This window comes from Homo sapiens, chromosome 16 (genome assembly GCF_000001405.40).
Source record: "Homo sapiens chromosome 16, GRCh38.p14 Primary Assembly".
NCBI lineage: Eukaryota > Metazoa > Chordata > Mammalia > Primates > Hominidae > Homo > Homo sapiens.
In genome coordinates this window covers 19,590,608-19,617,341 of record NC_000016.10, presented here as the reverse complement: position 1 = coordinate 19,617,341, position 26,734 = coordinate 19,590,608, and the positions used below count along the sequence as shown (strand labels likewise).

General features: G+C 45.4%; 1 protein-coding gene across 7 annotated transcripts in view, besides 1 other annotated feature; it reads right to left on the bottom strand.

Moving 5' to 3' along the window:
• VPS35L (VPS35 endosomal protein sorting factor like) overlaps positions 1–26,734 on the bottom strand; it is a 145,461-nt gene that overhangs the window by 83,822 nt on the left and 34,905 nt on the right. For 3 of the 7 annotated variants that reach the window (NR_158161.2, NM_020314.7, NM_001365293.2), the window contains exons 8-14: positions 25,468–25,552; positions 15,619–15,678; positions 9,068–9,164; positions 8,321–8,368; positions 6,927–7,020; positions 1,151–1,228; positions 534–656 (exon numbers count right to left, since the gene is read on the bottom strand). Coding sequence is in view for 5 of the 7 variants with exons in the window: in NM_020314.7 (NP_064710.5) it covers positions 534–656; positions 1,151–1,228; positions 6,927–7,020; positions 8,321–8,368; positions 9,068–9,164; positions 15,619–15,678; positions 25,468–25,552 (585 nt within the window). In the remaining 2 variants the exon portion in view is untranslated. Of the gene's footprint in view, positions 1–533; positions 657–1,150; positions 1,229–5,543; positions 5,615–6,926; positions 7,021–8,320; positions 8,369–9,067; positions 9,165–15,618; positions 15,679–25,467; positions 25,553–26,734 lie in introns of all 7 variants that reach the window. The other 4 variants (NR_158160.2, NM_001365294.2, NM_001300743.3 and 1 more) reach the window with 2 other exon arrangements.
• Positions 6,921–8,120: an enhancer, noted in NCBI's record as "MED14-independent group 3 enhancer chr16:19620544-19621743 (GRCh37/hg19 assembly coordinates)". NCBI's record gives its function as "activates an origin of replication core promoter dependent on BRD2, BRD4, P300/CBP and CDK7 cofactors, and independent of MED14, by STARR-seq in HCT116 cells {active_cell/tissue: HCT116}" and the evidence as "EXISTENCE:reporter gene assay evidence [ECO:0000049][PMID:35650434]".

The window sequence follows — 26,734 nt, the reverse complement described above, 5'->3', positions numbered from 1 at the left end:
CTGTCACTCAGGCTGGAGTGCAGTAGTACAGTCACAGCTCATTGTAGCCTTGAACTCTGGGGCTCAAGTGGTCCTCCCACCTCAGCCTCCTGAGTAGCTGGGACTATAGGCATATATCACCGTGTCTGGCTAATTTTTTCTATTTTTTTGTAGAGATGGAGTTTTGCTATGTTGCCAAAGCTCGTCTCAAACTCCTAAAATCAAGTGATCCTCCCACCTTGGCCTTGCAAAGTGCTGGGATTACAGATATGAGCACACCCAGCCACCAAACTGCTTTCTAGCTGTGTGGCCTCACTTAGGTACATGGCCTCTGGAGCTACCACATTCCCCTTCCACAGCTGTCAAAATGAGACTATCTCAGAAAAGCACTCAGCACAGAGCCAGCCACCATGGCAAGCCCTCTATAAAGGCTGGCTAGCACTAACATTGCTATAGCTGTTATGAAAGGGTCCCATTAACGTTAAAGGGCACAGTGGGCAGGGGCTGTCACCATACAGGAGGTGAGCGTCACACTGAAGCCACCTGGCAGTTACCTCGGGGGCATGGTAGGAGATGCACTGGAAGATCCAGTCCATGGCAGGCGGGTACAAGGGGAGGTAAGATGGGAGCTCCACTCCTTGGACCACCAGCTGGTTCTGGACCGTATCCCCATGAATCTACAGGAGGCCAAACAAACACTTAGAAAAGGAGGGGAAAAACCAAACAACAAACAAAACATACACAACTCACAGACTGTGCATACTTGTAAGCATGTGGACAGCCCTGAGAGAAATAGCCTGGTTTCTCGGTTGTTTTTTTTTTTTAAACCAAAAAAAAACACAGAAAGTTTCTCATGTCACCAAGCCGAGCTGTTTTGGGAATGAGCGCTGTGGAAAGCAGGAACCTGATAAAAATGGAGCCAGCAGATGCTCAGAAGCAAGGCTGATCGACTGGAGACGTTTCCTGTTAACACATGCATATTAACTTTCTCCGCTTATTCAGTACAATCAACACATTTTAATTGTCTACAACAGAAGCTAGTGTAATTTTCCAGGGCTTGCACATTTAAAGAGCTTTAAGGCATTCTCCACTTGGAAAACCAACTGGGTTTTGTGAATTTGCTATCATAGAACTGTTATATCGATGAGCTATTCTGATAGTGTTCTCTTACCTGTTTGAACGTAAGGAGGAAGTCAAAAAAGTTCTTATTTAGGGTTTCTTTGAGATGTGGGGCCACTTCCATTCCCACCTGCAGCCAGACAAATGGAAAAACTGGTTGCAAATAATGACTATAGTATGATTTTATTTTTGGAAATTAAAAAATATATATACCTATGTTTATAGACACAGAAAAAGTCCAGAAAATTATTATTATTATTATTATTATTATTATTTTGAGATGGAGTCTCGCTCTGTTGCCAGGCTGGAGTGCGGTGGGTGCGATTTCAGCTGACTGCAACCACCGACTCCCTGGTTCAAGGGATTCTCCTGCCTCAGCCTCCCGAGTAGCTGGAATTACAGGCATGTGTCACCAGGCCTGGCTGATTTTTGTATTTTTAGTAGAGACAGGGTTTCACCACATTGGCCAGGATGGTCTTGATCTTCTGACCTCATGATCTGCCCACCCTGGCCTCTCAAAGTGCTGGGATTACAGGTGTGAGCCACAGCGCCCGGCCTATTTTTTTTTTCCTTATCTGTTTTTTGTTTTGTTTTGAGACAGAGTCTCGCTCTGTTGCCCAGGGTGGAGTGCAGTGGCACGATCTTGGCTCACTGCAACCTCCACCTCTCAGGTTCAAGCAATTCTCCTGCCTCAGCCTCCCAAGTAGCAGGGATTACAGGCATGTGTCACGACACTTGGCTAATTTTTGTATTTTTAGTAGAGACGGGGTTTCACCATGTTGGCCGGGCTGGTCTCCAACTCCTGACCTCAGATGATCTGCCTGCCTCGGCCTACCAAAGTGCTGGGATTACAGGTGTGAGCCACCACGCCCAGCCTGATTTCTTTTTCAATAAACATGTATTGCTTTTATAAGAAAGACCACAGAAGCTATTTTTAATAAAAAAGGGCAACATTTGCAGAAATCATCTTTGCCCTTCCCCAAAGGTATTGAATGTATTTCTGAACAGACGACCAAGAGAACAAATCAATACAGAACTAAAAAGGAATGTACTCTCAAGATTGTGCATACAATAAAAAAATGATAAACACACATGGGGTTGTACTTATTAGACCAAGCACAAAGATTACGGTACGTGAGAAAGTCAGCTTGAATTCCAGATGTGGTGCTGCCCCCGTTACATGCTTAGTTAAAAGCTATACAAATTCATTCTTTGCAAGGCAGAGATAAGAGCAGACATAAATTTTAATACATTTTATGCAATTTTATATAACATGAGCATGAAGTGTAACAATGCTATAATCCACTGGGTCCTGACTTCATTGTTAAAAAACAGACTGTAACATTTCTAGCTGAAGAAATTTACTAATCATAGAGAAGGTGCCAGTACTGGGGTTAGATGGAAAAGTAGAGGGATGAGCTACGGAGGGGAGTTCATAGGTTTAAAACACAACATCACAGTGTTTCTTAAACTGAGCTCCTCAGAAATGCTTCGTTTCCAAATTGCTGCTTAACCGCAAAAACAACTTCGTAGGCTGGGCTGCAGTGGCTCACACCTGTAATCCCAGCACTTTGGGAGGCCCAGGTGGGCCAATCACTTGAGGTTAGGAGTTTGAGACCAGCCTGGTCAACATGGTGAAACTCTTTCTGTACTAAAAACACAAAAATTAGCCGGGTGTGGTGGCGCACGCCTGTAGACCCAGCTACCTGGGAGGTTGAGGTGGGAGGATCGCTTGAACCCGGGAGGTGGTGGTTGCAGTGAGCAAGATTGTGCCACTGCACTCCAGCCTGGGCAACAAAGTGAGACTGGTTCCCTATTTCTTCAAATGGGGAGAGATTTCTCCCATTCACCTTCCACTACCCAGAGGTCATGATGGGTAACACTAATAATGTTTTTCAGATGGCATTTGAGAACCACCAGGGTGTTAAATTCCAAGAGCAGCTCTGTGATTGCTGGGTACAGGAAGTGCTGTTTTCAAGGACAAGCACATAGATTAAATATATATATATATGCTAACAAGAAATATCAGATCCAGTTCTACAGTGTTCTGATTCTCCTTCCACTTAATCATATTGTAGAAAAGACAATAATTATCTGTTAGGTGACAGCAAAGGCTGGCCTGGTGGCTGAGCCATGGAGATGAGCTGAAGCGGCTGTGAGTTAGGAGTTAATCATACCTTCCTTTAATAACAGCTTCAAGCTCCCCCCACGCTCTACCCACTCAGAGCTTTTGTTTTCTGTTTTTCTCTTCTCATCGGGCCAAATGAGCAGCTTGGATATCTGCTTGGGTCTAAAAGATTTCTACCCAGAGCAGCAAGGGTATTGCTCATGATTCCCATCTGCTGTTTCGGCCTGCCCAGCATTCATCCCCCCCATTGCTGGTATCGGCAAATTAGATTTGTCTCTGGGGAATCAAACCTTCCTCTTGGACCATGAGGTTTGTGGTGGAGCTAGATCCACCTCACCCTGAGCTCCATGCAAGGGCATGTGACCCAGTCAGTAAGTACCCAGACACCAACCCCAGACCCCAACCCATGGCCACGTGACTAGTCTAGGGGTGGACAAACAACCCGAGGTAATCCACCAAGAATCAGCCCTGAGGCTCTGGCTAGATCTACTGGCAAGAAGACACACTTTCCAATAAGGTTCCTAAGGTGGTAGGATGGAAGCCAGAGGCCGCTATGGGCCATCATATAAAAAAAGCAAGCCACAGAATGAAGCCAACTCAAAGAACAGCAGAGCTGAGTGATGTGGGGAGAGGCTGATTCTTGACAGCACCCTTTGAGGGCCTGCATCCAGCCATGCCTGCACTAACCCTGGCCTCTCCAGACACTGGCCAGTAAGTTCTTACTTTTGCTTAAAGTAGTATGAACTGGGTTTTGCCACTTGGAACTGAAAGAAATCTTACTAATACACAGGCTGTCTCTTTTTGTTTGTTTGTTTGAGGCAGTCTTGCTCTGTCACCCAGGCTGGAGTGCAGTGGCGCGATCTTGGCTCACTGCAACCTCTGCCTCCTGGGTTCAAGTGATTCTCGTGCCTCAGCCTTCCGAGTAGCTGGGACTACAGGCGTGTACCACCACGCCCGGCTAATTTTTTGTATTTTTTAGTAGAGACAGGTTTTTGCCATGTTGGCCAGGTTGGTCTTGAACTCCTGACCTCAAGTGATCTGCCCGCCTCGGCCTCCCAAAATGCTGGGATTACAGGCATGAGCCACCGCGCTTGGTCTCTCTTACTCTTTTAATGTTAAAGAGACTTTTAGAAACTACCCAACCAGCGGAATCAATGCATTGCCTGGACTGACAAAAATGATTTCAACAGACGCAGGGCACTCTACTACCAATCTTGTGGGGGGTCTGCTCTGTCCTCTGCATCTTCTCCTCATTGTCACTGTGTTTCAAGTTGCATCTGCCATTCAAAGGCACTTTATATGTAACAAACATGATCGTGTACCCTAACTCACATACCTGATCTCAAACATTAAAAGGGAACAGGCTTGCAAAAAATACATACTTCCCCACATTCTGATTTCTCTTTAATAACCAGAATTATTTGCAGAAGAGACAGCATGATTCTAAGTCTTTATCACCGGGTCTCCGATATCAGGCCTTATTCAAATGATGTCAAGGTGTGTTCAAAGCATTTGCTATGTTCTACAAGGTAAAAGGCAGCAGAGAAGAAATACATAAACAAGGCTGGGCACGGGGGCTCACACCTGTAATCCCAGCAATTTGTGAGGCCGGGGAAGGCAGATTACCTGAAGTGAGGAGTTCAAGACCAGCCTAGCCAACATGGTGACACCCTGTCACTACTAAAAATACAAAAAGTAGCTGGGCATGGTGGCAGGTGCCTGTAATCCCAGCTACTCCGGAGGCTGAGACATGAGAATCGCTTGAACCCAGGAGGCAGAGGTTGCAGTGAGCTGAGATTGCACCACTGCACTCCAGCCTGGGCAACAGAGTGAGACTCTGGTGCAAAAAAACAAAACAAAACAAAACAAAACAAAAAAAGGCCGGGTGCAGTGGCTCATGCCTGCAAACCCAGCACTTTGAGAGGCCGGGGCAGGCGGATCATGAGGTCAAGAGATTGAGACCATCATGGCCAACATGGTGAAACCCCGTCTCTACTAAAAATACGAAAATTAGCTGGGCGTGGTAGCGCACACCTGGAGTCCCAGCTACTCGGGAGGCTGCAGCAGAAGAATTGCTTGAACCCTGGAGGCAGAGGTTAGAGCGAGCTGAGATCACACCACTGCACTCCAGCCGGGCGACAGAGTGAGACTCCATCTCAAAAAAAAAAAAAGGAAAAAGAAATATGCAAACAATATCTTTGCATCTCTCCCAGAGGATGTGGCATTGTGTTCTGTGCACAGTAGGGCCTCAGCAAACACTGACTTGGGAGGAGTATTCAAGCTTTAATATATTCAAAAGTTGTCCTTGGAAACACACCTGATATCTCTGGATGGAAAATCCCCCCCAGGTTTCAAGCAGTGGGCGATGCATACACACTTTGGCCTCTGCTGCAAAGAGGGAAGAGGATGCCCTTAAACGAAAGGCTTTTTCTTTCATTCTCAGTATCAAGAAACAGACCTATAAAAAGTGCCCTTCCTAATGGATATCTGCTCCTCACTCTGAGGGCACTGACTTAGTTTTTCGTGAAACTTGAGAGACCACAGGGCTTCCGACATTTGCTGGCTGTCATGCAGAAGAGGCAAATCACAGGCTACATGTTCTCGCCTTCTGATTTAATAAGGTGCAAACTCATGGGGGAGGCTCTAACTGCAGCTTTGTCCTCAAGGAAGTCTGGGGCTTATCAGGTGCAATGATCCCTCTCTAAGGATGTGCAATACTGATGGGACGATAGGGAAGATTCTCGTTGCTAGGGGGAGTCCTGACAGAGGCAAAGCCCCTGTGTGAGCTGAAGAAAACTATGGAGAGACCATATACTGGCCGGGCGCAGTGGCTCACGCCTGTAATCCCAGCACTTTGGGAGGCCAACGTGGGCAGATCACTTGAGGTCAGGAGTTCGAGACCAGCCTGGCCAACATGGTGAAACCCCATCTCTACTAAATATACAAAACTTAGACGGGCATGGTGGCGGACACCTGTAATCTCAGCTACCCAGGAGGCTGAGACAGGAGAATCATTTGAACCCAGGCGGTGGAGGTTGAAATGAGCCGAGATGGCGCCACTGCACTCCAGCCTGGGCGACACAGTAAGACTCCATCTCCAAAAAAAAGAAAGACCATATAACCTCCATTGGTTACATTTTTTCCATACACAAAAAACTTAATAGCTTAGCTGAAGCCTCACGGTGCTTTAAAGCAGGGCATGGGCAAGTAATTTCTAATCAGTCCCTCTACCCCCTTTCACAGCAGCCACCTAAGCCAGGCCACACAGACCCTGAGGCCTGCCATCATGTGGGACACTGCTCCCCTGCCAAGCAGAAAACTAATAAAGCAATCAAAGTCAAGACAAAGGAAGAGCATGTTTGAAGTCAATGAAAAGCAACCTGTTAGCCCAAAGGCCCTGGGAACCTCCTTCCCAGCAAGAACTGAGAAACAATTACTTCTGAAAACCAGTTCATTTGTAAGAAGATGACCTTAAACGTCCCCTAATTAGAGCTACAGTAAGTTGGTCTACTTTAAAATTAATTTTTAAAAGAAACCCTACAGTTCTACTTTCTGTGGCAGAGCCATGATCTAAAATTAGCCACTAATAAAGTCCTTCTCTCAATGACTTGCGGGGTGGTGGGGAAGGAGGGCCCTGTGTGAACATTCAAGGAGACGGGTGGCAGCCGTGCCGTCAAGGGCAGTGACTCGCATGGCCTACCCGGCACAGGTAGGCACGGGCATACACCGACACTAGTGGGTCTCCGATCCCTCTGATCATGCATGTCAACCGGGGCAGGCACTCTGAAATTCCCCTGCAAGAGACAAAAACAGGCCAGCATTATATTCGACGTGAGAACTCGCTGTTCTTTAATTTTTTAAATAAAGATAAAGACTTCCTAAATTTCAGGGAGGGGGGGAAAAATCAAGTTTCAGTAACAAACCAAGGTCAAAGTTTCAGTTTTCTAAGGCAATGTAACAACAGTCTTTCTCTTCTGATACAATTCATTCATTGAATGATTTCTTTCATCGTTATCATTTGCTCAGTGGTGGAGGCTAACCACATTTTTTCCCCAGTCGAGGTCACATTTATTTTATTAATTTTAACAGTTTTTGTCTTCAATTATTTTCCATCGACTGGGCACCCCTTGATCTTCTCTCCACATGTATTTTCGTTTGCCACAGATTTACTGTCCCGTACCCTGTTCCTTCCGTGAATCTCAGGCTGGCATCTGACATCCTCCAACCACCAACAATGTGAATTACAATTTATTTCTCCTGCAACGTATGTCTTCCCTCTGCCTAAGGCATTATCCTCCTCCAACTGGTGAGGCAAAATAATGTTTCTTCAGCCCCCATGTTATTCCCCCAAACTATTCCAGGCAACCCTAGATCCAAATCCAACACACTTGAGATAAATTCTAAATCCAATCGGTAGAGCTATCTGTGGAGCACCATGAATCAGTCACTCCCGGGCTTCAAGGAATTTATTATCTAGCTATCTAACATGACTCAGCATTTCACCTGCTCTGCAGAAAGCAGATCTGGGTCCCCCACGTCCTGTAACTACTCTCAAAACATTGTGATAAATTGAGTGGCATGGACCTAAGCCACTAAGGGCAAAGGCTTCTGCTTCTGACGTCATTTTCATCATCATCATCATCAACAGCAGCCAACATGGAGGATGGGCCCACCGTGTGCCAGGGGTGACTCTCATTGTTGCATGTGTGACCCAAAGGACCCCCTCAGACCTCTTCTTAGGGTCATGTTCCCAGGAGAGGGAGCCAGAGGTTCTGAGGCTGTAAGTAACTTGTTCAAGACCATACAGCTAGTACCAGTACAGCCAAGATTCAAATCCAGTTGAGCTGATCTTCCATGACCTCCTTAACCAACTTCTCCAGGCTTGAGTTTTCCTCTCTCTAATATGGGGATTAGGATGGTGTCTCTACTTCATTCAGTTTTCATTTGGATTCAATGAGAAAAAGAACAGAAGGTGCTTAACACACATTAAGTACTCAGTGAATAATGGCTACTATTACATTGCCATTACTATCTGTGTACACATGGGAGATTTTTAGAAATTTTATGGTTCTAGATTTTACCGAAGAGCCTTACGTTTTGGAGAGGAATTTGTTACATTTCAGGATGGATGCCTCCACGTAACTACAAAAACATCCTGTTAAGGAAGATGTTTTCCAGAAGGTCTACTCCCTATGGAGAAAAGACTAAACTATCCATGAATAGAAGTAGGCGGGTCTTAGGAGATGGGGACCACAGTGGCCCTCAACAATCCAGCGAACTAAGGTAGCTTATGGTTTCTACATATGGTTTTCAAAGTTTCATACTTATTTGAAATAAATTGTGGGAAATGTTATACGTTGATTCATAGTTGCATGCTGAAATATAAACTGGGTTTTGAGCATTTCTAATCAATGCTTTATGGGGAAAGAAAGAACTTTAGGTAACTAAGATGGAATTTATGTATAAGTCAAATTATCTGTTCTTCAATAGTAGCATTTGCCCTGCAAAGCTTGACCCTGTTCTTTCAAGTTCTTGGAATCAGAGAAAACACAAATATGAAGCATTTTAATTGAGAGAATTAAGGTGGGAATGTTCCTCAAGGAAACAAATGCTTGACACATGGCATCGTATTCAAAGTAAAAGACAAAAAACTGGAAAGAGCAAGAGTCCAAGGGTTTCTACAATGTGGCTTGCCCTGTATGTGTTTTCAGGCTAGCAACCGTAACGGGACCAAACTTTCAATAAGAATGTCAGGGCATCCCATCACATGGCTTCTATTAACAGTACAATTCTTTTAGCCTATCTTTAAAATCATCAGACCAAAAAAAAAAAAAAGGATACAATCTTGGAATGAGTTCCCTGATGGAGGCAATCTTGAAAAACCAATTTAGGCATGTTTCCTTGGCCGTGTCATTTGCATTCTCTGGAGAAAAGTGATCTGTAATACAAAAAACAAGATCCATCAGCCCTCCTAAATCTCAGGATCTGTGTGAGTCCCTGGATGGGAATACATTACCCTGGAGCAGAAAAGGGGGTGACTCAGCCTGTTTCTTTCCTTCCAAATATCACTATTAGGAAGTAACTGATGATAACAATAGTTTACACAGACACAGGCTTTCTAAGTGCCAAGTGTCGTTCGCAGTGCTTTACAGACAGCTCACCTGATCCCATATAGCAACCCTCTGAGGTACGTAGTTTTATTATCTTATTTTACAGATGCAGAGACCAAGGCACAGAGGAATGTAGTGACTCACCCAAGGCACACAGCAAGCAAATGTAAGAGTTAGAATTCAACCCAGGCACTCTGGCCCTGCGGCCGACATTCTTAGCCACTGCCTCTAATATAATCCAGAGGTTCTTGGTTACCTACCAGTCACTATGACAACATTGTTGAGAATTCCAGATGCTTTACGGACCTGCGACTGCAACATGAAATGTGATCTAAGCTTTTGCTCTACACATCACAATGGGCCAGAGGAAGGTAAAACAAGGCCTCTGAGGTGAGAAACCAGCCAGAATTATGTTGCCGGCTCACGACTGGCTCCAAGAGAGTCATCTTGTGAAACTGCCAGTTTACTCCATTAGCTATTCTCTTCCTCTTTAATAAAAGAACTCGCATTTTCCTGCAGGACACAGGGCCATCCTTGCAGCTAGGTGTGGTCACGTGGGTCAAGTTCTGGTCCCAGGATATATAAATAGAAGGGCAACTTCTGAGAAGTATCTTTAAGGAAAGGGGCTTGCCTTCCCTCACTTCTTCTTTCTGCTCACTGACTGGAATGCAGACATGACAGCTGGAACCTCTGCAGCCATACTGACCATGAGAGCAACAAGACAGAAGTGAGGATCCTTGGTACCAGGGGCTAGCTGGCCCATCGGCCCTGACCTTCATTACTGTTATTTTGAGTTTTCTGGAACTGGTACCCAAGCTTGATTTTGACATACATATTTTTAAACAGCAGAAATTTATTTCTCACAGTTCTGGACTTGACATACATCTTAAGGAATGGAAGAGAATATGGAGAAATGAAAGAAAAAACACAAAACTTACAAACACCATGAAGGCCTTTGTTAACCTCTCACATGGAAATGATTTCAGCAAAGATTAGAGCTCCATCCCACCACTGGATGTTTTATACTTTTAGGATTAATTCAAAAAGGGAGAAGCTGGCCAGGCACAGTGGCTCATGCCTGTAGCCCCAGCTACTTGGAAGGCTGAGGTGGCAGGATCAATAGAGCCCAGGAGTTTGAGGCTGCAGTGAGCTATGATTGAGCCACTGCACTCCAGCCTGGGCAGAGCGAGACAGAGTAAGACAGAGCAAGACCTTATTTATTTATTCTCTAAAAAATGAATAAATAAATTAAAAGGGAGAAGTTAGTTACTTTAGAATATAGCAAATGATTCTTAGCTTGTTGGCTTTCATCCTGTTTTGCAATGAGTCATTTTCATCCCTGATTCTGTCATTTGGTAGTATATGAAGGTGATCAAAATTCCCATAGAATCAGCAAAAAAAGATAAACCTCTAGGTACTTCTCTAGCAGAGAACAGTCACTAATCACTGCAGATATTTTGAAATTGCAATCTCCTCACTCTATTTTTGGATGTCTGGCATGCTTCATTCACTTGAGAACTATTTGCTTACCATTTTCAAAAGGATGGGAAATGACCATTTTCCCCTTTCCAGCCTAGATCTCTACACATGAAGTAACTTTTTTTTCTACTTTCAAGAGATCCAGACAGGAAAAGATAGCAGTTATTCTTACATTCATTTGTCAATCTTCTCTTTGGGGAGAGGGAAGAGCAGTGTTAATTTCCCTTCATATGACTGAATCTTGTGGCTTAAAATCCAAAAGCAAAAATAGGTCTCTGAGGTCATCTACAAAATCTCTCACTGTCTAGCTGAAGGAACTGAGATTCAGCAATGGCTAAAACAAACTGGTTCAGGTTGCCTGAAAGAGTTGGAAATCAGGCTAAAGGCAGGCTGCCTTGCATACACGCATTGACTACAAGCTATACGACAATCTGCATACACCAATACAGAATCTTTAGGCTTTCCTTCCAGCTCAAGAGATAATTTAGGAAAAGGATTATGTTACGTGGGACTTTAAAATCTTACAGCAAACTAAATATTATATTCCTTTACTTCATGTGCTCAACACAAATGCCTTAAGGGCCAACTAAAGGTGGTGTTCCAGGCTTTGGGGAGATAACAGTGCACAAGGTAGATCCTATCTTCATGAAACTTACATTCCAGTGGGGTGAGACAAATGCTAAACAGGAAAGAGAATAAGCAGGCAAACAAATAAGATAATATCTAACAGCAGTAAGTACTATTAAAGATACTAAACTAGGTATTGGAATAAAGAGTGACTTGAGTGTGATTTAGGGGAAGGGGCTCATTAGATGTAGTGGTCAGAGAAGGCTCCCACAGAGGCAGCATTTGAGCTGAGCCCTGAACTACGAAAGGGAGCCAGCCATGCCTAGATGTGGAAGAAACATATTCCAGGGAAAGAAAACAGCAAGTGCAAGGCCCTGAGGTAGGTATAACCTCACTATGGTCAAAGAACAAAAAGCAAGCCAATTTGCTGAGCAGAAAGGGGAGCAGCCAGCATGACAAGCCAGTTCATACAGGGCTGAAGCCTTGGTGAGGAGTTTGAGAGTTTTTCTAAACATAATGGAAACCCCCTGAAGGGTTCTGGGCACAGGAATGGCAATGACATGACACAGTTTAGACTTCAGCACTTGGGCTGCTACATGGGGACTCCTTCAAAATCTGGAAATTAATTCAGAAGACACTTCAATATAACAAAGAACAGAGATTTTTTTTCTAGCTCCCACTTATTTTTCTTTTATGGTGCTGCTTTTTTTCAAACCTGAACTTCTGTGGGTATTTTAAGAGAAGGCAGGAGACCAATGAGTCTAGTTCTTTCATTTATTTGCCAAGTCTCTACCCTAGCAGCGAGAGGTCTCTTTACGTAACAGTGTTATAGGGATTGGCACCATCTTAGTTAGCATGTGCTGGAAAGGCCAGGTCAGTTAAGGCCACTGCTTATCCCGATGTGGCCCACATCAGCCACAGGGGAAAACTGAAGATGGGAATGCTGAGAAGATGGTGATGGGAACCATAATACAATAAACCCAAATTATCTCTCCCAAGCTGGAAATAAAATGATTTGACTTCTCAGAGTCGATGGTCTCTTTATGCATAAGCTGGATTAAGAACTGTTGGGAAAAAATGACCACATCTAATAGTGTGTGATTTTCATGAACCCAAAAGACACTGTATCTTTCTCAACTCCGAAGAGCTATACCTTAGTTAAAATTCCTGAAGGCAAAGGGCTCAAGTATGAAATTCACCCAACAGAACTTGATTTAAATGGAAAGAATGAGTACAAATGCCACCAAATTTCTCTTCACACATAATCTCTTTGGGCAGAATTCTGCACAGGAGATTTCTAAAGCTTTCATGATAATTATACTTAAGAGTCATTCCTCAGATCACCAACAACTTTGAAAAACATAATCTACTGTTCTTTTCAGGTTCTTGGAACTGGAGCTAACACAAGCAGATGAAGATTTTAGCTAAAAGGAAAACAAACAATGATATCATTTAAAGAAAAAAAAACCAAATCATTTGCTTTGCTCAAGATCAAAAATAGTTATTTGGAGAGGGAAGAATTTTAGTGATAAAAGTGCTATAATTAATGTATCTAAACGAGGACTGATCTGTTGTTTTGAACTTTTAAGTTTAGGCAAGGAGTTAGTTATTAGTAATTTTTCCTTAATTGGCCCTAAAATGTTGTTTGTATAGTCACTGAAGACTGGGAGAAAGGAAGATTATTGCAGTAGAGGCAAATTCAAATGCTTCTGGGGGCCAGGCAGGTAAATATGAAAATTTTTAAGAGGTTGGGTATATAACAATAGGAAGAACTAGAGCCTGTATCAAAAGTCATTTTTTTTTAAATGCTGTTGTTGCCAAAAAAAAAAAAAAACCTATTTTGGTTCAGTTCCACCTGTTGGCTCAAGTTTGCTGCCAATGGTATAGCATGCTACATGCTGGCAAGTGTATATTAAATAAATGGATTCGGCCGGGCGTGGTGGCTCATGCCTGTAATACCAGCACTTTGGGAGGCCAAGGTGGGTGGATCACCTGAGGTCAGGAGTTGAAGACCAGCCTGGCCAACATGGTGAAACCCCATCTCTACTAAAAATACAAAAATTAGCTGGGTGTGGTGGTGCACACCTGTAATCCCAGCTACTTGGGAGGCTGAGGCAGGAGAATCGCTTGAACCCAGGAGGCGGAGGTTGCAGTGAGCTGAGATTGCGTCATTGCCCTCCAGCCTGGGCAACAAGAGTGAAACTCCATCTCAAAAATAAATAAATAAATAAACAATTCAGATTTCCCAAATCCTCAAGCCAGCGGAGAAGGCCTTTCCTTTCCACTTGGGCTGGCCTCTGCCTGCCTCTCCCAGATCACTGCCTCCAACCCTGAGATGGCCAGAACATAGGAGGAGCTGCTGAAAAAACATCGTCACAGGTGTGACGCAGTGGCGTGGAGGGTCCCAAAGAAAAACCACATGAGCCACATTAAAAAGGTCAAAAACTGGGGAAATTAATTTTAATCATGTACTTTACCCGATTCATCCAGAATACCGTTTCAACATGTAATCAACATAAACACTATTAGTGAGCTACTTTACCGTCTTTTACTTGTACTGACTCTTTGAAATCCGGTGTCTTTTTTAATAGTTACGTCACATCTCAATTTGGACTGGCCACATCTCAAGTGCTCAAGAGCAACACGTGGCCAGTGGCTGCTGTACTGGACAATGTAGATGCAGCACTAAGAAAGAGCAAGGCTCTCAGTAGCTGGTGGCAGGGCCCTGGGCAAGACTCTTCCGTACTGGGTCTGCCCATCTCTGATGAAACAAGATGGGTCCTAAAAGCACTTCAAGACCTAAAAAGCCTTCAAGAGCTAAAAATCCTAAAAGCCTGTTGAGTTCTGTCTCTTTCTTTCTGACAAATGTGCACATTAAATAGTATTAAAAAGACAGGCCAAGCACAGTGGCTCATGCCTATAATCCCAGCACTTTGGGAGGCTGAGGTGGGAGGACTGCTTGGGCCCAGAAGTTTGAGAGCAGCTTGGGCAACATAGGGAGACCCCGTGTCTACAAAGATGAAAAAGTAAAAATATTAAATAGAAAAAAAAAAAAGGGACGGGCACGGTTGCTCATGCCTATAATCCCAGCACTTTGGGAGGCCGAGGCGGATGAATCACTTGAGGTCAGGAGTTTGAGACCAGCCTGGCCAACATGGTACAAACCCTGTCTCTACTAAAAATACAAAAATTAGCCAGGTGTGGTGGCAGGCACCAGTAGTCCCAGCTACTGAGGAGGGTGAAGCAGGAGAATCGCTTGAATCCGGGAGGCGAAGGCTGCAGCGAGCCAAGATTGTGCCACTGCCCTGCAGCCTGGGTGACAGAGCAAGAGTCCATCTCAAAAAAATTAAATAAAGATAAATTGATCGATTGATGGACAGATAGGAAGCAGAAGGAGAGAGAAAAGGAGAGGGTGGGAGAGGAGGAGGGAGAGGAAGAGAGAGGAGGAGAGAGAGGGAGGAATAAAGGAAAGAGGAAAGAAGGAAGAATATAGGTCAGGTTATAGGTTACTGTCACAAACACTTTCTATTCACCTCCTGGGAAGCCCCACTGCAGGAGCGGAGGGAAGTGGAGCGGCAATGGAGCAAGCTGGTTGCTCTAGCTTGGACGGATGAGAACGTTTCCTCATAGCAGTGCTCGGAAGTTAAAAAGAGGAATAAAGGCAAAGGATGCTGCAGCTGAGAGTCCTGCATTGCCAGACACATCATTCTTACCATTTATACGACAAAAGAAATTCATCATCCACTTGTCCCATTATAACCTCCTGGGAATTTAAACTTGATTGACAGTCAATTTAATGCAAAATCATTTGGGTATAGATTGTGAATTCAAAGCATCAATTACTATTGATCTATTTGACATCATTCTTTAATATGCATAAAGTCGTTTTTGATTTTTTTTTCCAAGCAAGTTGCTTCTTAGGAGGGAACGATACATAGGAAAAATATTAAAGTCAAGCAGCAGAGGAAAATATGTTCGTGTGAAAGTTTGGCTGAATCTAACTGTGAGGCCTTTGCAGATTCAAATGACTTGCCTGAGTTCCTACACGGGCCATTTAGAAACCTTCTAATGTTTTTAGAAGACTGAGGTGATCAGAAATCTTCAAAGGTGTTTCTTTTACTTTAACACACCCAAAATTAAAACCTTTATCAAGCTTCAATGAATCCTGACTCAATAAAAGCCTTCTAGTCCTGACTCCAGGGCAGAATGACACCCCAGGAACAGCTGCGACATTACCTGGTAAGACGCTGCGGCTATCCACACACATGGAAAAGATGCGCTCGTACACGAGCTTTCCTGGGAGGAAAAGGACAGATGGTGTTAGTATCACACTCTTCAGGAGCAAACAGTAAATAAATGTTTGTTAATTAGGGACCCAGAGCTATCATCGCCCAGACAGGCTTTAACTTGTGATGGTATGCTGCCACCTGGTGGGACAGATTTTAAGCCACATTTTTTTTGTTTTGTTTTTAGTTTTTCCAGTAGACTTTTACTTTCTTTGAAAGGCAGAAAAGTGATCGTTTTACCCTTTGGAATCTAAAGGAGTCTCAAGTATCTCCATCCACTCAGACGATGGTCCACACTCCATGCTAGGCCAGAGGTGAAAACAGGCAGCCCACGGGCTGAATCCAGCCTGTGACCAGTTGTGCATGGCCACTCCACAACACACAACAGCCCACAAAGTGTTTTAACATTTTTTGAATTGGTTACCAACACGTAAAAACTGGAAGAGGCTGGGCATAGTGGCTCACACCTGTAATCCTAGCACTTTGGGAAGCCGAGGCAGGAAGACTGCTTGAGCCCAGGAGTTCAAGAGCAGCCTGGGCAACACTGTGAGACAGGGTATGTACAAAAAATTTAAAAATTAGCCAGGCATGGCAGTGCACGCCTGTAGTTTCAGCTACTTGGGAGGCTGAGGTGGGAGGATTGCTTGAGCCCAGGAGTTCAAGGCTGCGGTGAGCCATGATCACCCACTGCCCTCCAGCCTGGGTGAGAGAGCAAGACCCTGTCTCAAACACAAAAACTAAAACAAACTCTACAACTTGGGAGAACTCACATGCCATATTTTCTCCTTCTTCACATAAAATATGTCAAAAATGTGGCGATATCTCTATAGGATAACACAGCTAGAGCAAATTAGTAGCTGCCCCTTGAAATGGCATATACACTAACCAGTTTGCCAGTCTCAACCACCCCCTACTGTCTCTCATCATCAGCGTGCTTTTCACTCTTTTATGTGACCTGCCTGGTCCCTAGAAGCCTCAGAATTTGAGATTCAACTAGAATGCAAGCTCCACAAAGGCAGAGATTTGTGCTTGTTTTGTTCACTGACATATTCCTAGTACTGATCAGTGCCTGGCACACAGGGGGTACTCAATATTTGTTGGATGGATGAACATACTAGAGGTTTTGTAGGTCATGGGTCACTTTCCTGACGACTCATCTTTGCCACTGTAGCATAAAAGTGGCCACAATGTGCAAACAAATTGATGTGGCTGCGTTCCAATAAAACTCTACACAACAGGTAGGCAGCCTGGACCCCTAAACTGGTATCAAAAGTTTTATTTATTCTGTGCATGTATTTTCAAAATGTTATCAATATGTGGAAGTAAAAAATTAGAGTCCTTATTCATTTTCTAAGCTCTCCTAAGTCACCTTCAATGTGAAAGTATTTCCCTCTATGAGATTTTTTTTTTTTTTTCATAACCCTTTATTCAGGGCAATAAAGAACAACACAGCTTGTCCATACATGGAAAAAGAGACAGGAAAATACAAAGATCATTTCAGGTTAAAGAACGTGGGATCAGGCAGGATTAAGTGAAGGAAGCCAGCCAAGCTAAGAGGTTCCACCCAGGTGCTTCTCCTAGTATGAGCCACCTACCTAAATACCTTCCTATCTACATTCATTCCTTCATTCACTTAGACAGGGTCTCACTCTGGCACCAGGCTGCAGTGCAGTGGCGTGATCACAGCTCACTACGGCCTCCACCTCCTGGGTTCAAGCAATCCTTCCACCTCAGCCTCCTATGTAGCTGGGACCACAGGTATGCGCTGCCATGCTTGGCTAATTATTTTTTTGTAGAGATGGGATTTCCCTATATTCCCAGCCCAAGCAGGTCTTGAACTCCTGGGCTCAAGTGATCTGCTTGCCTTAGCCTCCCAGAGTGCTGGGATTATAGGTGTGAGCCACCACACCTGGCCTTGGACCACCTACATTAAAATTTCCTGAAGGCACTTGTTGAAAATGCAGATTCCTGGTGCCCACCTTAGAGCTACTGGAAAAGAATATTTTATAGCCAGGCGTGGTGGTGCACGCGTGTAGTCCCAGCTACTTGAGAGGCAGAGATAGAAGCTATGATTGTGCCGCTGCACTCCAGCCTGGGGCAACAGAGTGAGACACTGTCTTTAAAAAAAAAAAAAAAGTATTTTGGAGGATGAGGACTAGGAATATGGATTTCTGAATAACCTTGCTGGGAAATCCTTATACATGCTGAAATGTGAGAACCACTGATTTAGGCAGACACCAGTGGGTCTCTGAGCTAAAACTTGCCTTGCCTCTGGAATCTACAGAAATAGCAACAAACTTCCCTTTTCCCTCTGAGCCAGTGCTTCTCCAACTGGGCTGCAGACTCCAAGCACCTGGGACTATTGAAAATATGTGGATGTCTGTGTCCATCCTCAGAGGTCCTCTTCTAAATGGTCTGGATGCAGCTGGGACTTTGTGGGTGTTTGTAAAGCTGCCCAGGTGATTTCAATGTGCAGCTGAGTATGAGAAGCACTGCTCCAAACCACTGGCTCCATTTAGAAGCCCCTGGAAGGCCTTAGAGAACAAGCCCCAGTTCTCAAAGCCACCTGCCTTTTTCCTCCTGGCAGAACGAGCTTTCCTTATCAGCGGCTCTGGGTTCCCTATAGCGCCACACCTCGTGTAGAGAGAGGCCTCCCTTGTGATGACCCCAGAACCCTGGCATTAGGGATGCATGCAATGTTACCTCGGACCATCACACAGCAAACCACACTAGGTGGCTGCATAACTTCTCACCTCCCATGGTGCACAGAATGAACCCAGCACAAAACACCTTTATTTCCTACACGAAAGTTGCCATCCCTCTAAAACTAGCTTTCTTTTTTTTAAAAAAAATTTCATCTCCACATTCTTTTTCACTTTTTTTTTTTTAAGAGACAGAATCTTGCTCTGTCACCCAGGCTGGAGTGCAGTGGAGCAATCACAGCTCACTGCAGCCTCAACTTCCTGGGCTCAGGGGCTCCTCCCACCTCTGCCTCCTGAGTAGCTGGGACCACAGGCGCACACCACCTTGCCTGGCTAACTTTTAAATTTTTCGTAGAGACGAGGTCTCACCATATTGCTCAGGCTGGTCTTGAACTCCTGGGCTCAAGCAATCCTTCTGCACTGGCTTCCCAAAGTGCTGGGATTACAGATATGAGCCACTGTACTGGGCCTCACTTTCATATTTTAAGGATCTTTTAACTACAAAATTAGTTTTACTGAAAAAAGTGATTTGTCTATTAAGCTAGTAGACAACTATTTTGAGAAATAACACTTGATCCTAGATTTATTTCCTGTCTTGATTTGCTTTCTTACAAATCAAAGACACTAAAAGAGATAAATAATAACAGTGGTAACAGCTAGCATTTTCTGAGCACTTACTTTGTGCCAAGCACTATTCAAGGTCATTTACTTTAATCCTGCCAGCAAGCTCTTAGAAAAGGAAAGACATTATACTTCCTATGAATCCTCTCATTTAATCCTCTCCAGAAACCCTTAGAGGCAGGGTCTACGATAGCCCCATTCTACAGGTGGAGAAACTGAGGCTCAAGTTCACACAACCCTGAAACAGGAGACGCAGGCACTGAAGCCAGAAGCCCACCTCTGTACCCAATGCCTCCAGTGAAATCCCAGCAGAAACCAGGCACACGTCTTCCCACTGTGCATGCCAGTCTCTGTGGATGCTGGGGCCTTAGCCTGCATCCCTGGCACAGCAAGATGCTCTGACCCTCTTGTCAATGATGTCAACAACCATGAAACACCTGTCCCTATACTGTCATGCATCTTCTTTTAGAGCAGAGTAATGACCATGTGCAGAAAAATGGAGCTCAGGACTCCACATTTCCACCAAGCAAGTCAGGGTTTCACTCCTTTTTTATAAAGTGAACACTCATTAGCCCCAAACCTTAATAAAGACTCTTTGAGCATCTGTCCATGCAGGCTGCCTCAACAGTCCTGAGGAATATTATTCACAATAGACTTAAACAACAGCACCGTGGGAACACCATTCTGAAGTGGAGAGGAAGGACAGGGACCTTGGGAAGTGCTGAAAGCAGCTACTCTGTGTGAATGTTTGGTTTTGAATAGGTAAAACATTCCCTTGGTTCAAAATTCAAAAAAGCTGCAGAAGGTACCGAGCGCAGTTTCTCTCCTGGCCCATCCCATCCACCTCACTGCCCTGCACACCCTCTGAGAGAAACCATTTCTATCGGTTTCTTGGCTATCATTTTAATGTCTCCTTAGGGAGACACAAGTGAATACCAACATGTAGTCTACATTTTCCTCCTTTCTTTTTTTTTTTTTCTTCTTTTTGAGACAGGGTCTTACTTTTGCTAGGGTGCAGTGGTACCATCATAGCTCACTGCAGTCTCAAACTTCTTGGGCTCAAGGAATCTGCCTGCCTCTGCCTCCTAAGTAGCTGGGACTATAGGCTTGTACCACCAAACCTAGCTATTTTTTTTAAATGTTTTGTAGAGATGGGGTTTTGCTATGCTGCCCAGGATGGTCTTGAACTCCTGGACTCAAGTTATCCTCCTGCCTCAGCCTCCCAAAGTGCTGGGATTATGGGATTACAGGTGTGAGTCACCATGCCCAGCCCTTTCCTTCCCTTCTTTGTTGTTGTTTTGTTGTTGTTGTTGTTGGTTTGATTGTTTTTCTGAGATAGAGTCTCACTTTATCACCCAGAATGGAGTGCAGTGGCTTGATCTCAGTTCACTGCAACCTCTGCCTCCTGGGTTCAAGCAATTCCCCCACCTAAGCCTCCCGAGTAGCTGGGATTACAGGCGCGTACCACCTCGCACAGCTAATTTTTGTATTTTTAGTAAAGACGGGTTTCACCATGTTGCCCAGGCTGGTCTCGAATTCCTAAGCTCAAAGTGATCTGCCCGCCTTGGCCTCCCAAAGTGCTGGGATTACAAGTGTGAGCCACCATGCCCAGCCTTTTCATTTCACAGAGCCACTAGTACTCCACTATACAGACACACCATAATTTATTGAGCTAGCTCCTATTGATGGCCACTTGAGTTGCTTCTTATAGTTTGCTATTACAGGTGGGATAGATTCCCAGAGGTGAAACTGTTGGGTTAAATGTACATGCATTTAGGCCAGGTGCAGTGACTCATGCCTATAATCCCAGCACTTTGGGAGGCCAAGGTGGGAGGATGGCTTGACTCCAGGAGTTTGAGACCAGCTTGGGCCACACAGTGAGATCCCATTGCTAAAAAAAAAAAAAAAATTCGCTGGGCATGGTGGCACACACCTGTGGTCCCAGTTACTTGGGAGACTGAGACAAGAGGATCCTTTGGGTCAAGGAGATCAAGGCTGCAGTGAGCCATGATCACCCCATTGCACTGTGGCCTGGGCAATGAAGTGAGACCCTGTCTCAAAAAAAAAAATGGTATATGCATTCCCCCATAAGCAATGTATAAAGAGAAATAAAGTAGGTGCTTTGACTGCAGAGAGCTAGTTGAGCCTCAGCTCTGCAATTCACTATGATGGTGACCCTGGGCAAGCTACTTTCCTTCTCCAAGCCTCAGGTTCCTCATCTATAAAATGGGGACAACAACCAGACCCATCTCATAGGGCTGTTATGCAGATTATGGGACTTAATATCTTTTTTTTTCTCCTGCCTCAGCTTCCCGAGTAGCTGGGACTACAGGTGCCCACCACCATGCCCGGCTAATTTTTGTATTTTTAGTAGAGACGAGGTTTCACCATATTGGCCAGGCTGGTCTTGAACTCCTGACCTTGTGGTCCACCCACCTTGGTCTCCCAAAGTGCTGGGATTACAGGCATGAACCACTGCGCCTGGCCGGGACTTAATATCTATAAAGCACCTAAACAGTCTGTCCAAGGTCATCATCTGTTGAAGGTTTACCACTGCTGTTCCCAACTCCCAGCCCAGCTGTTTTCTGGGACGCAACAAGGACAGCAGCATCTGCACTACAGCCCGGGGAGTACAGGACGGGGCTGGAGTGCTGCTGGCAGGAGCTGGCAGAGTGGCTGCCCAGAGTTCTTGCAAGGTGAGTGAGCTGTCTGGGTCTGGCCAGGCTTGCAGGATAGAGCTAATCAGTGTCTCAGAGTTAATCTTGCTCAGGAAAGCTGACTCATACAAAAGAAACTTAGGAGAGGCGGGCGAGGGAACCAGACGGCCAAGAGGTTAATTCACGGGAGGAATGAGACTGCCAGGGGAGCCAGACACAGCCACCAGCCTCTCCCCACCAATGAGGGCCTCACACTCGCCGAAGGTAAGCTGTGTGCATGGACACGTCAAGGACCAGCAGTGTATGATTTGACATCTAACCTGAGAACCTAAAGCCCTCATCCATCCTGGGTCTCTCCTCACCATCTCCACCGCCTCCCGGGGCCAAGCCACCCCTGCCTCTCACCGCAAGTGCTGCCACAGGCTCCGGGCTCTACCCCCGCCCTACAGTCTAGTCTCAACACGGAGCCTGTTAAATCCCACGTGGGATCACCTCCCTCCTCTGCTCAACACCCTCTGGTGGCCCCTCCTGTCCTCAGAGTCAGAGTCAAAGCCCAAGTCCTCCCAGTGGCCCCCAAGGCCACCATGATCTCTGACCATGTCAGTTTCTGCCCCTCTCCCGGGCTCATCTCATCGCCTCTCTCTTGGCCTCCTTGGTTCTCAGGCCAGCCTGGCATGCTCCCAATGCTCCCACCCCAGGATCTCCGCACAAGCTGTTCCTTGGCCTCTTCTGCCCCTGGCCTCCACCCCACAGACCCAGAGGGCTCACCTCTCCCCTCTCACCGCCTTCAAGCACCTGCTCAGGTAACCTCTCAACGAGGCTTCCTCTGAGCACCTTACTTAAACTTGCACCCCTACCCCCTCACCTAATTCCCTCCATTCCTCTTCACCCCCTCACCCCACTCTGGTTTTCTCCATAGCATGGATCATTGTCTAACATACAATTGGGTTGACTTAATTGTTTTGTAAATTCTCTTTTTTGGAAACATAAGCACCACAAAGGCGAGGATTTTTTTTCTCTTCTTTTTTTTTTTTTTTTTTTTTTTTTTTGAGACGAAATCTCAGCTCTGTGGCACAGGCTGGAGTGCAGCAGCGCGATCTCAGCTCGCTGCAACTTCCACCTCCCGGGTTCAAGCGATTCTCCTGCTTCATCCTCCCAAGTAGCTGGAATTACAGGTGCCTGCCACCAAGCCTGGCTAATTTTTATATTTTTAGTAGAGATGGGGTTTCACCATGTTAGCCAGTCTGGTCTCGCACTCCTGACCTGAAGTGATCCAACCACCTCAGCCTCCAAAAGTGGTAGGATTATAGGCGTGAGCCACTGTGCCTAGCCAAGGCAAGGATTTTTATCCCTTCTGTTTGCTGACACCTCCCTAGTGGCCTGCAGAGAGCCTGATACCACCTCTCCGGGCCATCTGAACCCATCAGGGCTCATCTGTCAGCTGGGACATCTCTTCTTTTTGCCCAGGTAGCATCCACTCCCCTTTCTTCTGCTAACTGTATCACTCTTTTAGTTTTGGGGTGACCCAGGCCTGGATAATCAGTGCATTTCATCCCCCAGATAACACAACTGGCTCAGGGACTGACATGTGATCCAAGCCAGGCCAATAAGATGGGATTCTGAAACTTCTGTGGGAATGCTTGGAGAAAGTAGCTCTTTCCATGCCCTGGGACCACTAGCAATAAAGCTAGCAGAAGCTGAGGACAGCTTGTGAAGCTCGAGAATGCACCCAACCAAGGGCAAGGTCTTTTTTTTTCTCTTTTCTTTTTTTTTTTTGGAGACGGAGTCTCGCCCTGTCGCCCAGGCTGGAGTGCAGTGGCGTGATCTTGGCCCACTGCAATCTCCACCTCCTGGGTTCAAACAATTCTCCTGCCTCAGCCTCCCAAGTAGCTGGGACTACAGGTGTGCACCACAACACCCAGCTAATTTTTGTATTTTTAGTAGAGACGGGGTTTCACCATGTTGGCCAGGCTGGTCTTGAACTCCTGACTGCAGATGATCCACCCACCTCGGCCTCCCAAAGTGTTGGGATTACAAGTGTGATGAGCCACCATGCCCGGCCCAAGGGCAAGGTCTTAATGACACTGTTTGGGTTCCTGGATCCAGCTGCACCTGAAGCCAAACTACCCCTGGACTTTTCAGCATAAGCCAATAAAGACCCACTTTTTCAAGGTTAGTTAGCTTTCTTGTCACTTGTTTTAGCTAGCGCACTCAGGCCTCCGGTCTCTTGGACAGGACTGGGATGCACAGAAATGAATGAGTCTCTCAGATTGATAGTCTGCTTTCTGACACATTGTATCTTTCGATGGGTTTACAGATAAGATTTGCTGGGTTGGGAGCCCATTAGTCCCTGTAAGACAGTGAATGTCTCTGTTCTGATCTTCCACGTGTTCAGCTCTCAGAAGGCGCCCCTATTTCCTGGTTCTGGTGGGGTGCCTTGCTGTGGGGCACATCATATACAGCTTAGAGGGCTGCATGGTTTGAGCAAACTGCTAATGGCACGATGTTCTGGCCTAACCAACCACTGCCAAGCAGCACAGGGGCCTCCTGCTCCTCCAGGTTATTCTCTTCAGTCTAAACCTTTCTACCTGGCTCCAAAAGGTCTCTCTACCTGTGAGGTGGTGTGTGGGACTAGGGGCAGCCACAGTGATGCAGGAAGCTATCCAGGTGGGAGAGGACTGTGGCTAGGATTAAAATTTTAACAGTGAGGCTGGGCACAGTGGCTCATGCCTGTCATCCTAGCACTTAGGGAGGCCGAGGAGGGCAGATCACTTGAGGTCAGGAGTTTGAGACCAGCCTAGCCAACATGGTGAAATCCCATCTCTACTAAAAATACAAAAACTAGCTAGGCGTGGTGGTGCGTGCCTGTAATCCCAGCTACTGGTGAGGCTGAGGGAGGAGAATCACTTGAACCCCGGAGGCAGAGGTTGCAGTGAGCCAACATCACGCCACTGTACTCTAGCCTGAGTGACAGAGACTTTATCTCCAAAAAAAAAAAAAAAAATTTTAACAGTGAAGAAAGAAAAAAATAGACATGCTGGGGAGAGCTTTAGGAGGCTGAACCGAAGAATCTGGTGACTGGACATGGGCATGTGGGGGAAGATGCTCAGATTCCCAGCTCAGGCAACTGGGTACATGGTGGTGCCATTCCTGGAGACAGAAACTCAGTGGGAAAAGAGAAAGGGCTGGGAACAGATGCCAAGTTCAGTTTCAGGTGCCTGTGAGACGGCAAGGGACCCATGCTGCTTAGTGCCCCCAGCCTGCCCTGCTTCACTCATTCACTTTACTAGTCTATCACAAGATTAGGAAAAACAGGCCAGGCATGGTGGCTCATGCCTGTAATTCCAGCACTTTGGGAGGCTAAGGCAGGAGGATCACTTGAGGCTAGGAGTTTGAGAGCAGCCTGGGCAACACTGCGAGACTCTGTCTCTACCAAAAAAAAAAAAAAAAACTTAGCTGGGCACGGTGGCATGAGCCTGTAGCCCCAGCTACTCAGGAGGCTGAGGCAGGAAGACGGCTTGAGCCCAGGGGTTTGAGGCTGCAGTGAGCCATGACTGCGCCACTGCCCTCCAGTCTGGATAACAGAGCAAGACCCTGACTCAAAAAAAAAAAGAAGAAAAAATAAAATTTTAGAAATTTTAGAATGTTTCAAAAATAGCGCCCTTATTAATGGGCGTGGGGGGGAACGGTTTGATCTCTCCCATGACTTACTTAATAACTTAAACCACAGCAGAACCTAATTTACAGTAACTCTACCACCCAATTCTTGACAAAACGAACACATTTCCTAGATCTAAGATGCATATGACAGGTACTTACCAAATGTATCAAGTATGTCGGTGATAAGGACAAATTTGCTTGGGTAGAACTGAATAACACTGGTGTCTGAAAGAAGCTTTGAACACTAAAAAAAGAGAAAAAAAGAGAAAATTCACTCTGGCATGTCTGGTATGGGTAGGACACTCCAGATCTGAAAAATTAATGGTTTCTATATACAAGTTGAGATACTTACTATGTGCCAAGGCCTGTGCGAGGTGCTGAGCATACAATGACAAGCTAAACCACTGTGCTTTTCACAGAGAGAGCCGGACTCTGCTTACAACAGAACCTCTTCTTTGTTTTCCCTTCCTTTTTTTTTTTTGTAGAGATGGGGTCTCGCTATGTTGCCCAGGTTGGCCTTAAACTCCCAACCTCAAGTGATCCTCCCACCTCAGCCTCCCAAAGTGCTGGAATTACAGGCGTGAGCCACCGCACCCGGCCCATAACAGTCTCTTAAGAAAATACACTATCACCTTCTTCAGGAAAGCCTTATCCAAAAGGATCCTGCTTGTATACTGAACCAGGAAGCACTCAAAATCACTGAGAGAAGTGAATGACATCTCTCTCATCACAGTCCTCATCTGTGGCCCCATCTTTGTTCAATTGCTTTGCAGACTGGCTTCTTCTGTTGATTTCAGGGTGATCAGCATCCTTAAACATTCTTTTCTAAGAAATGACCCCATAAGTAAATCCCCAAGGCTTCATAAACTCACACTGATTATTTATACTCAGTCCCAAATTCCCCCCAAAAGGAACATAAGCTTCAGTGAATACATGTTACTCTGGAAATATGACCTTCAATGCTGAAAACATTTCAGCTTTGCGGGGAATTGCTGAATTCTACATTCTCATTCATGCCAAAGGGTCACAGCCATGTTCAGGACTATTTAATTTTTTTAAATTTTATTATTATTTTATTAGAGATAAGGTCTTGCTCTGTCGCTCGGGCTGGAGTGCATTGGTGCAATCATAGCTTACTGCAGCAATGAACTCCTGGGCTCAAGCAATCCTCCTGCCTCAGCCTCCCGAGTAGCTGGGACTACAGGTATGTACCACCATGGTTGGCTAATTTTTTTTCTTTAATTTTATGTAGAGGCAGGTTCTCACTATGTTGCTCAGGCTGGTCTTGAACTCCTGACCTCAAGCAATCCTCCCACCTCAGCCTCCCAAAGTGCTGGAAATACAGGTATGAGCCACTGCACCCGGCCAACATGTTCAGAACTCTTTTTTTGAGTACTCGTCTGCTATTTAGCGTTCAGGACTTTTA